Source organism: Homo sapiens, chromosome 15, assembly GCF_000001405.40.
Source record: "Homo sapiens chromosome 15, GRCh38.p14 Primary Assembly".
NCBI classification, from domain to species: domain Eukaryota; kingdom Metazoa; phylum Chordata; class Mammalia; order Primates; family Hominidae; genus Homo; species Homo sapiens.
Window position 1 is genome coordinate 45,390,939 of NC_000015.10, and position 11,344 is coordinate 45,402,282.

The following is an 11,344-nucleotide window of genomic DNA, read 5'->3' on the forward strand; positions in this document are numbered from 1 at the left end:
AGAATTGACCTGGAGATCACTGCTTGACCATTAACTACTTGGATAACCTTGAGCAAGTCACTTAATCTCTCCACGCCTACTTGTACAAACTAGTTAACCTCAAGGTTCTGTTGAAGTCCTAGTTTCTCACCATTCTATTCTAATACCTTAGAAAGGTATTTTGTATACGTTTCAAAACAACGTTGGCTGGGAGCAGTGGCTCATGCCTGTAATCCCAGCACTTTGGGAGGCCAAGGCAGGTGGATCATCTGAGGTCAGAAGTTTGAGACCAGCCTGGCCAACACGGTGAAACCCCATCTCTACTAAAAATACAAAAAAAAAAAAAAAGCTGGGCATGGTGGCACATGTCTATAATCCCAGCTACTCTAGAGGCTGAGGCAGGAGAATTACTTGAACCCGGGAGGCGGAGGTTGCATTGAGCCAAGATCGTGCCACTGCACTCCAACCTGGGTGACGGAGCGAGACTGTATCTCAAAAAACAACAACAACAAAAACAATGCTCATCTCTTTTTATAATGCCATGAAGAGAGCTGATTTTGCCAACTTTGTGCCTAACCGTTGAGCAAGTAGTAGCTTGAATGTTATCTTACACCAAGTAATCAGCAGAGGAAAAATAGCTGAGATTTTGACTTCATTTCTTGAATAGATTTGTTTGTGTGTATAAGCTAGCCAGTGGTTTAGTTAACACTGTGCAGAATTATTGCCCCAGACAATTACTAAAGATCAAAGTTTGTAGCATGAATTATACCACTTGGTAAGATTCTGCATTTCTCATAACTGAGTAACAAATTTATATTAGAGTTGGTGTTAGGCAAAAGTGATTCTGGCTTCATTGATTGAATTGTAGAAGGCAAAGAGAAAAACTGCCAATTGCTGCCTAAAAAATTTTCAAGTTCTTCTGCTAAAGAAAAAAAAACACAAAAAATAAAAGGATACAAAAGATTTTAGGTTGGCAGATGTGTACCTCAGACAGTGGCAGGCCCTATGGCAGAGTAAAACACAGTATACCATCATAATAAAGAGTGTGGGCTCTGGAACCAAACTACCCAGCTTTAAAGCCTGACCCTACAATTTAAGCTGTATGACCTTGTGTAAGTGACTTAACCCTTCTGTACCTCAGCTTTCTCAAATATAATAAGGATAATAATAGCATGTAACTCATAGAGTTATGATTAAATGAATTAATACATGTAAAGCACTTAAAATAACCACTCACATGTTAGCTACTGTTGTTATTAGGAACTGAAATGGGCAGAAGGGGAACTAGTCAGGACAGGAAGGCAAACTTGGTGACAGAAAGGAAGAAAAAGATGCTGAGAGCAAGCTTAGAAATGAGGAAGAAGGTACTTTCCGTATCTGGTTCCTACAGTGCGCATTCTCTCTACGTGACTACAACACTCTTGTGGAAAACTTTCTGCATGTGTATGCACGTGCGTGTGCGTGCATGTGTGTGTGTAATGTTTCAAAATGATTTCATACATATCATCTCATTTGATTACCAGCAGTCTACAGAGATAAAGTCTCTATGTAACCTAGCAAATTACTTCTGGCTGTCACAGAACGTGGGGTAGGTAAACACAGGATGAATCCTGAGAGCACCAAAGCACAGCATAGAAGAGCACCCACAACAAGCCATTCATTCCTAGATAGATTCTGAGAAGTAGGATGCTGGGTTTTTTTATGTATCACCAGGGATGTAATGTGGGGCCACATCTTTGTTTCCCAAGATGATCTCACCATAAATTTCCCAAAAGCATTGTATTTGATCATCTTCATATCTTCACATTCACCAAATGTACTTCATGTTCCTTTGCAGTAAGCATATTTTGTATGCCTGCCTAGCCTTTATTATGTATCAGATCCACTTCAAAGTAGCCACTCTGTTGAGCCCTGGAAGATACTTGTATTGCTGTTTTCTTCTTTTTCAAATACAATTTGAAAATTTAAAATACAATTAGGGGATCAGTAGAAAACAGCTATATGGTGATGACATAGAACAATCTCTAGCCAAGTAATGGGAAATATGTCTCAGAGAGGTCACTGGCTTATTACTATTAATTAAAATAATAATTAACACTGACCACTTAATATGTGCCTGGCAGTAGCCAAGTGCATTACATGAATTTAGTTATCATGATATTGTGGTATTCCCAGCATATAGCAAATGGTAGGAGCTCAAGAAATATTTGTTGGATAAATGAACCTATGAGGTAGGTATTAGTTTTATTTCCATTTTACAAATGATTAAAATCAGGTGTAAAATTTTAAAGCCTTGTCTAAGGTCACATAACTATTAATTGGTGGGTGTGGTTTGCAAAGCCAGATTTGGTTATAGCGTAGCATAGTGTAGTGGTTCAGAGTGGAAACTTTGGAGCCAGCCAAGCCACTTAGTTTTGAATCCTAGGTCTGCCACTTACTAGCTGTGTGAACTTGGGAAAGCTACTTAACATTTTGCGCCTCAGTTCTCTCAACTATAAATTAAAAAAAAAAAATAGTTCCAACCTCCCAAGGTTATTGGGAGGATTAAATGAGATCATACTGTAAACACTTACAACTGTACCTGGTACTCTATCTGTGTAGCTATTACTGTTTATTGGAGCCTTACATTACATGCCAATAGAGCTTTTACCCTTCAAAAGAAATTTCTATAAATTATCTCATAACATCCTGATAGATGATAATAATTACAATGAACATCATACAGGTTGAGTATCCCTTATCTGAAGTGCTTGGGACCAGAAGTGTTTTGGACTTTGGATTTTTTTGAATTTTGGAATATTTGCATTATACTTAACTGATTCAATATCTGGATTCAGAAATCCAAAATCTGAAATGCTGTAATGAGCATTTCCTTTGAGCATCATGTCAGCACTCAAAAAGTTTTTGATGCTGAGCATTTTGCATTTTGGATTTCTGGATTAGGAATGCTCAACCTGTAGTATGTCACTTAATCTCACAATAATCTATTTCAAAGATTTTAAGAATCAGGCTCAGAAAGGTTAAATGAATTGCTCAAGACCATACAGCAAGCCAGTAGCAATGCTAGCCCCTGCTGGAAGAAGGTAGAATGAAAGATCAAAGATGACTAACACATAGCATCAACTCTTACAATCAGGAGGGAGTAGAGCAGAGGTCCCCAACCCTTGGGCCACAGACCGCTGCCAGTCCACAGCCTGTTAGGAACCAAGCCACACAGCAGGAGGCGAGCAGGACTGAGCGAGCATTACCACCTGAGCTCCACCTCCTGTCAGATCAGCAGCATTAGATCATCATAGGAGTGTGAATCTTACTATATACTGTGAACTGGCATGCAGAGGATCTAGGTTGTGCGTTCCTTATGAGAATTTAATGCCTATCTGATGATCTGAGGTGGAACAGTTTCATCCTGAAATCATCCTCCTGCCACACCCCATCTGTGCAAAAATTGTCTTCCACAAAATCGGTCTCTGGTGCCAAAAAGGTTGGGGACTGCTGAAGTAGAGGAAAGACAGACAGGAAAACAACTAACTCAAGGCAGAATTAAGCCAAGTGCTAAAAAGGTGGGAAGGTTACATGTTGAGGAAAACCAGAGGAAGAATTGTTGAATTCTATCTGGGCGTAGTGTGTTTGCCAAAACTTCATTCCAAAGGCACCAGGCGGGTCAGGCACTATTTCATGGTTCTGAAACATACTGAGTTCACTCAAAGTCAGAAAAGTTTGCAGGTCTATAAAGAAGTGGGACAAAGAAAATTCTGAAAAATGCCTAGGCATTCATGGCTACTCTCACATATTTTAGGGTGTGGGAGGGAAACAGTGACCTTCATTTCAATGGACAAATGAAACATTCAGTACCAAGGATGGGGTGAATAATGTAATTATTCTAAACAAAGTTCCCTATCTGCTCAGTTTGAGAGGATTCAGAACACGTATCTTCATCCTTTTGTCTTCAGTTTTGCTATTTTGGAACCCAGCGGGTCATTTCTTTTGGAGTCAGCCCTCCCATTCCAAGGCTAAAAGGTCATGAGATCTCTCTCTCCCCTGTCTCTCAGGGCTTGCATTGTTTTGGCAAGATCTTGTCCATCAGTGAGAAATAATGGTGCAGCAAACAGATATTTCTGTCTCCTCTGTCTGATTTTAGTGTCTTAGAAAGAAGAAATCAAGACTTCATCCCATTTTTTGGATGGGGTGTAGCAAAGCACTAGAGGAAACTTTGATGAAATGGATACCTGAGAATTAATATGAATAAGCCATTTGCAGACAATCTCTATCCTATCTGTAGGCTGGCCTTGTTTCTGGCTCAGTCCCCAAGACCAGGTCATATTTAATATTAGGTCAACTACTAGACAAGTCTGAGTGTTCTAAAGATCTAAGAGTTATTATAGCAGGCTAAAATTCTCAACTCTAATATACCTTAGGTATAAAACCCAAACCAATTTTTTTTAGATTTTTCAAGCTCATTCTCCTAGATTCAAATAAAAACTAAGTGGATTTCTAGTATTTGAGGAAACAGACAGATTTAACTATTAAACACCTAGCATTTTGCTCAACGCTGGGATGGGGAACAAAAATTATAAAAGATTAGAAAAAAGAGGTACAAATTCCCAAATCACTTAAAGATCTCACTGGAAAAATAATACAAAGTCACTTTAAACAATTGTCTAGCAATGCAAACAGAATGCAACTAGATGCATAAATGTATGGACAGTGCTACAGGACCTCAGATTAAGACAAGAACAATTTGAACTAAAGATGTGAAATACATCTTCCTGGAGGGAAGTTAAATTTGCATTAAGGATTTATAAATGAATGTCCTGGAGTAAAGCATTTACTTGGAGGAGAGAATACCATTAACTCTGCCCTGTCCACCATTGTACTATAGTGCTCTGGATGTCATTCCCTCCCATTTACCGCACATTTCCTGGTACAGAATGAATAAAAAAAAAATGGCATTCAAGCTTTCCACGACTAAGTCCCATTTTACCAATCCAGCCTTGCTGCTACTCATTCATTCATTCAACATATCTTGATTTTACACTTAAATCCTTTAGGTACTGTGGTAAGTACAGAGCACCTGGAGAAGAGCAAGACTCATTTTCTGTCCTTAAAGGGTTTAGAAAGACAAGGATACCACAACTAAAACATAATACGATAACTGCTCTAAGAGGTACGCACAGGGTATCAAGGAAACTCAGAGCAGGAATACTTATCTTGGAGGAGGGAAAGCGATCGAGGAAAGTTGATAAACTTGCCTTGAAGTTGCTATGAATAAACCATTTCTGGACAGTATCTTCCTTGTTCCTGGAGCCTGGTCTTCTCTCTGGCTCAGTCCCCAAGATCTGATCTTACACAATACTGGGTCAATGCTTAGACAAGTTTGAAAGCTCTATAATTCATTTAGATAAACTAAATTGTCAGATTTAATATAACTCAGATATAGTCCTCAAACCAGTCAAAGTATAAGAGATTTTTCTTGGCTGGTTTAATATAGTTACAATTTAGGGAGAGATTGGAGGGATGGTGTTTAATTAGGACATTTTCGCAATGATCCAATAAAAGTAACAAAAATTCCTATTGATGGTAGAAATAGAAAAGAGTAGATGAATGTTTAGATAAGCTGGCAGCACACAGTTTCCAAAGGTATGGTATAGTCAGTCTTAAGATACAGTATTTGGGCTGGGCACAGTGGCTCACACCTGTAATCCCAATACTTTGGGAAGCTGAGGTGGGCGGGTCATGAGGTCAGGAGATCGAGACCATCCTGGCCAACATGGAGAAACCCCGTTCCTACTAAAAATACAAAAATTAGCCGGGCGTGGCAGCATTGTGCCTGTAATCCCAGCTACTCGGGAGGCTGAGGCAGGAGAATCACTTGAACCCAGGAGGCAGAGGTTGTAGTGAGCTGAGATCACGCCACTGCACTCCAGCCTGGGCAACAGGGTGAGACTCCGTCTCAAAAAAAAAAAAAAAAAAAAAAAGCCATAAGTATGGTAAAGATAATACTGACCTTCTGTTAATTTCTTAAACACAAAAAGCATATTCCAATCTCAGGGCATTGGCACAGGCTTTTCCCTCTTCCCTTTCCTCTTCCAATTCTTCTGCTTGGTTTCTACTTATCCTTCACGTCTCAGCTGGAATGTCACTTCCTCAGAGACCTTCTCTCCTTTCCTGTTGTGAAGTAAGAAATATATATATGGTCTCTGCCTCTAGTCTCTGGCCTAGAGCTCCCAACACCCTTGTAATTTCCTGAGTTACAGGGGTGCTAGGAGAATCTTTGGTTCTAATGTTTGGTCTTCACTCTCGTTCCTGACATGGAGCTCTTAAATCCCGTGGACTTTCCTGAGTGATAGGAGCAGTCTTTTGTTCTACCAAGGCAATTCTTGCCCGGCTCCTAGATGAGGGCTGGTCACCGGAAAGCCCAACCATGATCATAAACTTGGAGCTTTCAGCCCCTACCTCCATTCTCCAGAGAGGGACGGAGGCTGGAAATTGAGTTAATAATTGATCATGCCTACGTGATGAAGGCCCCATAAAAATCCCTTAACTATGGGGTTCAGAGAGCTTCCAGGTTGGCAAACACACATCCATGTGCCTGGAATGTGGTACATACCAACTCCATGGGGACAGAAGCTCCTGTACTCAGGACCCTTCCAGATCTCACCCTTTGTATCCCCTGGCTGTTCATCTGTATCCTTATTACATCCTTTATTAATAAGCCAGTAAATGTAAGTAATGTGTTTTCCTGAGTTCCATGAGCCATCCTAGTAAATTAATAGAACCTAAGAAGGGGGTCATGGGAAGCCCAATTTACAGACCGTCCCTGGTCAGAAGCACAAGTCACAATCTGGAACTTGTGATTGGCATCTGAAGGTGGGGGGCAGTCTTGAGGGACTGGGCCCTGAACCTGTGGAGTCTGATGCTATCTCCAGGTAGATAGTCTCAGCATTGAATTGAATTAGAGGACACCCAGGTGGTATCTGTGGGAGAATTTGCTTGATATGTGGGGAACTCCCCAACCAACACCTGGTGTCAGAAGTGCTGTGTTGAGTGGCTGAGTGGTGTATGAGAGTAGGAAAAACAATTTGTTTTGTTTTTCCTATCCTTAATACCTGTTTAAAGTAGCCCTTTTCCGTTTATTTCTTTCAAAGCAATTTTCATCACCTTTAATTATCAGATTTATTCACTTGTTTACTTCTTCAATGTTTGACTTCCCAGTAGACTATAAGCTTCATGAAGGCAAGGATTACAGTGTTTTTATTGTTGTTGTTTGCCACCAAATACTCAGCCTCTGGTATAGTAACTAGCAAGAAGTAGATGTTCAATAAATATTTGTTTTAATAAATATATAATTATTATGTTTGTTGAAAAGTGTGAACCAACATCATAGGGAAAAATTACCTTAACATTAACTTCTAAAAAATGATGAATCAAGCAATTTCCTGAAAATGTGCAAGAACAGACTTTCAGAATGATGTTCTATGAACTGTAGTCTGCAGGTCATTTGAAATCCAGCAAATATTTTCATCCTCCTTCTTCTGATTCTATAACTTATTCTATATCTAGAATTACTCTAAAGACTAATTCTAACCTGGATACAAGATAAAAAGTAAAGATGGAAGATTCTAAAGAACAATTTTAACAATGTCCCATTTAGGGGGATTTTCATTACATACTTTATGAACACAGGTTCGGCATATTAGCTATCCGTGGAAATAAGTCACTTACTACATCTACATGAGCATGTTGAGATGAAAGTGTTTGCAAATCATGCTTTTTCAAGGGTGGCTAAACAAATCTCTATTCATCTATTACAACTCATAGTCATTGCTAATGTTCAAATATATTAGGGTTGAACATAACACAAAAATGGAAATGCTGGAAAGATTAACATTATTTAATCTACAGATGACTCATGCTACTGGTTTAACCATTTTCTTTAGATTTTTTTCATATACAGGAATATATTTTTATATACATATATAATATGCTGAAGGGACAAAAATATTGCATGATCATTATCCTAAAGAAACAGATTCCAATTATTTCTTTTGAATTATAGACTTACAGTTAATTAAGAATTTTTATAGTTAATTAAAAATTAGACAGATTGTAACCTTGAATGTAACAAAGGACATAAAGAGAAACCATTTGTCACATGTACCTTTTCGGGAAAATCTCACAAAAGATTTTGTTTGGCAAAGCTATTTGAAACAATTTAAAGCTAGAAATGTTTCTAGGCTATAGCAAGATGAATTCCATCGGTTTGGATTTTGACCTACCACTAAATTTTGGATTTAGGAACAGTCTCATTTTTATACTTAACACAAAAATTAAATTTTAACTTAGAAACTGAGTTTTACACAGCTTGAGGCTTGTGAAAAATTATGTGAAAATAAGTCAGTTACTGCTAGGGTCTCAGTGTTTGTGTCCTCCACAAAATTCATTTGTTGAAATTTTAACCCTTGAGATGATGGTAGTAGGAGTCAGGGCCTTTTGGGAGGTGATTAGGTCACGAGAGTGGAGCCCTCATGAATGGGATTAGTGTGCTTATAAAAGAAACATGAGGGAGCTAGCTAGTCCCTTCCACCATGTGCAGGTACAATGAGCTGTCTCTAGACAGGGGGCCCTTACCAGTCATGGAATCTGCCAGTGCCTTGTCTTTGACTTCCCAGCCTCCAGAACTGTAAAAAATAAATTGCTGTCATTTATAAGCTACCTCGTTCGTAGTATTTTGTTACAGCAGCCTGAACAGACTAAGCCAGATAATATATAGAGACAACAGATGGCTTCATACACCTAGGTGTGAATCCTGGGAAAATTGAGTGGAAACCACAGTTGAGAACACCAACGTCCTAACAATCCTGTAGCCTTCAGGCTTAGTTGGTTCTGGACTCCCTCTAGTGGTTCAATTCTAGTGCTTTAATTGATGTTCTTCAATTCATAGAATTAACAAATTTCTGGTCAGATTAAAAACAACTAAGCAAAAGAGCCACACAACTCCCATTAGAATGGTTTACCACAAGGAGGCCAGGTGCAGTGGCTCATGCCTGTAATCTCAGCACTTTGGGAGGCTGAGGCAGGTGGATCACTTGAGGCCTGGAGTTCGAGACCAGCCTGGCCAACAGGGTAAAACCCTATCTCTACTAAAAATCCAAAAGTTAGCCAGGCGTGGTGGTAGGCACCTGTAATCCCAGCTACTTGGGAGCCTGAGGCAGGAGAATTGCTTGAACTTGGGAAACAGATGTTGCAGTGAGCTGAGATCCTGCCATTGCACTCAAGACTGGGTGACAGAGCAAGACTGTCTAAAAAATAAATAAAATTTTAAAAATAAAAAGAATGGTTTATCACAAGGAGATTATGTCATTGAATGGCATGATAAATATGGATGTTCAGATGGCTGAAATCATAGTGTTGCAAATGGTTAGACCTAAAGGGACAGAATGGATTTTACTGGATGATTGGGAAAGACATTTATAGTTTTGCTCAGAGTGAGTGGATAAGAGCTGAAGGCCCAGTAACAGAATTCCTTGTTGCTTTTGTTTGCAACCTATGGTAAAGACTGGATCTTTTAGAGAAAGAGTGAAGTGAAATAATATTTCCTGTGCATATGGATTCTATAAGGTCAGAGGGTTCTTGTTTGACCTTGTATAAAATCAACCTCTTAGACCAACCAAAAGCAACATGTAGTTTCCTTCTCATCATATTCCTAATAGCATAGTTTGTGCCTCTGTTTTAAACCAATTCAGAAAATTTTGAGGCCGATTTAACTTTATTGGCTCCCTGTTTTGGCTTTGGTTATTCCACTCCATTAAACCTTTACTTCTTGGCCATTTCTGCACTGTAAATATAAGTAAATCTACTAACTCTTTTACATGAGATCCCTTTACATATTTAAGACAGTTATCCTGTCCTCAGTAAGTCTTCTTTCCCTCTCCCAGATCCTTAAAGCTTCTTGGAGCTGAATAGAAGGAACTCGATGAGGTACAGGCTTCTGATAAAATAACTTGATAGGCATGTAATTCACACCTTTAGGGGTCGGTAAAAACGATGGCTTTTTTTTTATTTCAAAAAATGCAAAGCTGTTATTTAAAAGTCCCCAAACCAAAAAGAACTGAAGCCAATGGGATTAAGAGGAAAAAAGAAAACAGGAAGTAATGGGTGACTTATCCATTTCAAGACCTCCTCCTGCTATTTTCTGATTCCTAAATTGTTCCAGAATCGATTTAAGCAGACAAGTACAGCTGAGACCAGGTAAGTTACTGTCAAGTCAAGAAGTCTGTCATGTCTGCCATGAAGTTTGGACAGAATGAGATCAGGAACTGGCATGGGTCTTAAGATCCCAGATCTGACAGTACTTCCCATTGATAAGATATTACTACACAGTCTGTAATTGATTATTTGCATAGATAGAAAAAAAAAACTTCCCAGCAACTTAAGCACTCTAAAATATCAGTTTTGTCAACTCACAAATTTGGGTTGCAGTGAAAGTGGGGAAAATAGAGGTAGGAAGATGTAAGTCAAATAAAAACAAGGTATATCTTCTTGTCTTTGAGTATCTGTAGTTCTTTTTTAACGGCAATTAAGAGGGATAGAAAATGTATTCCAGCTGATAAAAAGGAATTCCCTGTGCGAAAGGGAAAGGCAGAAAGCAGCTGGAAAAAAAAAATAGCAGGCAGTTGTCTTAATAACGTAGATAGGTATCGCCTCTAATACAGGACTTAGTACTGTTGTGCCCCAATTAGACAGTAAGCATTGATCGCATGAACTTTAGTGATTAACTTGTTGCCAAAGAATATTCAAAAGAATATCAGAAATCAGAACAAATGTACTGTTGGTGTGCTACAAATCCATCAGGTAGCCTAGTTTTCCTTCTTTCCTCTCTACAAGGGATTTTAAGCGCTACCGTGTGCTTCCCTCCCACTATGCTGGTACTTTCCCATAGGAAGGGTTGTGCCTGGACCTCCCAGATTGGAACCCCGATTACCGAAGGTCCCAAGGCTGTATTCTCAGTTACGCCAAGTCACCTGAGACATTTGCACCAGAGCACCCAAAATTCTGTGCCCATGCGGATAGTTAGAGTTTCTTCACAAAATAGCAAAGTCTCTAGGTTGCTATTCCAACGGCGGTAGTACTGATGCTCCAGTTCGAAGGCCAGGAAAACAGAATGTAAAGCCGGTGACTTCCAAGATATATGTAACCACCAAAGTACATGCTTAATGACCTAGTGAAGTGAGCTTAAGCCGCCTCCCAGACACCTGTAACGAAGACCATCTCGGGAAAGCTCTGGGTTAGGCAACTCGATTTCACGAAAGCGGACACCAACGCTCTACCCAGAGGCCCGAGCGTCGTCTAACGTTTCCATTGGCCC

At 39.4% G+C, this 11,344-nt stretch overlaps 1 protein-coding gene across 5 annotated transcripts in view, besides 3 other annotated features; it reads right to left on the reverse strand.

The window, feature by feature from the left end:
* GATM (glycine amidinotransferase) overlaps positions 1 to 11,289 on the reverse strand; it is a 41,104-nt gene extending 29,815 nt beyond the window's left edge. For 3 of the 5 annotated variants that reach the window (NM_001321015.2, XM_047432385.1, XM_047432386.1), the window contains exons 1-3: positions 10,961 to 11,289; positions 8,608 to 8,657; positions 5,984 to 6,144 (exon numbers count right to left, since the gene is read on the reverse strand). Coding sequence is in view for 2 of the 5 variants with exons in the window: in XM_047432386.1 (XP_047288342.1) it covers positions 5,984 to 6,014 (31 nt within the window). In the remaining 3 variants the exon portion in view is untranslated. Of the gene's footprint in view, positions 1 to 5,983; positions 6,409 to 8,607; positions 8,658 to 10,960 lie in introns of those variants that run through there. The other 2 variants (XM_047432387.1, XM_047432388.1) reach the window with 2 other exon arrangements.
* Positions 953 to 1,222: an enhancer, noted in NCBI's record as "active region_9357". NCBI's record gives its function as "activates an Ori minimal core promoter by ATAC-STARR-seq in GM12878 lymphoblastoid cells {active_cell/tissue: GM12878}" and the evidence as "EXISTENCE:reporter gene assay evidence [ECO:0000049][PMID:35858748]".
* Positions 10,851 to 10,900: an enhancer, noted in NCBI's record as "active region_9358". NCBI's record gives its function as "activates an Ori minimal core promoter by ATAC-STARR-seq in GM12878 lymphoblastoid cells {active_cell/tissue: GM12878}" and the evidence as "EXISTENCE:reporter gene assay evidence [ECO:0000049][PMID:35858748]".
* Positions 10,911 to 10,980: an enhancer, noted in NCBI's record as "active region_9359". NCBI's record gives its function as "activates an Ori minimal core promoter by ATAC-STARR-seq in GM12878 lymphoblastoid cells {active_cell/tissue: GM12878}" and the evidence as "EXISTENCE:reporter gene assay evidence [ECO:0000049][PMID:35858748]".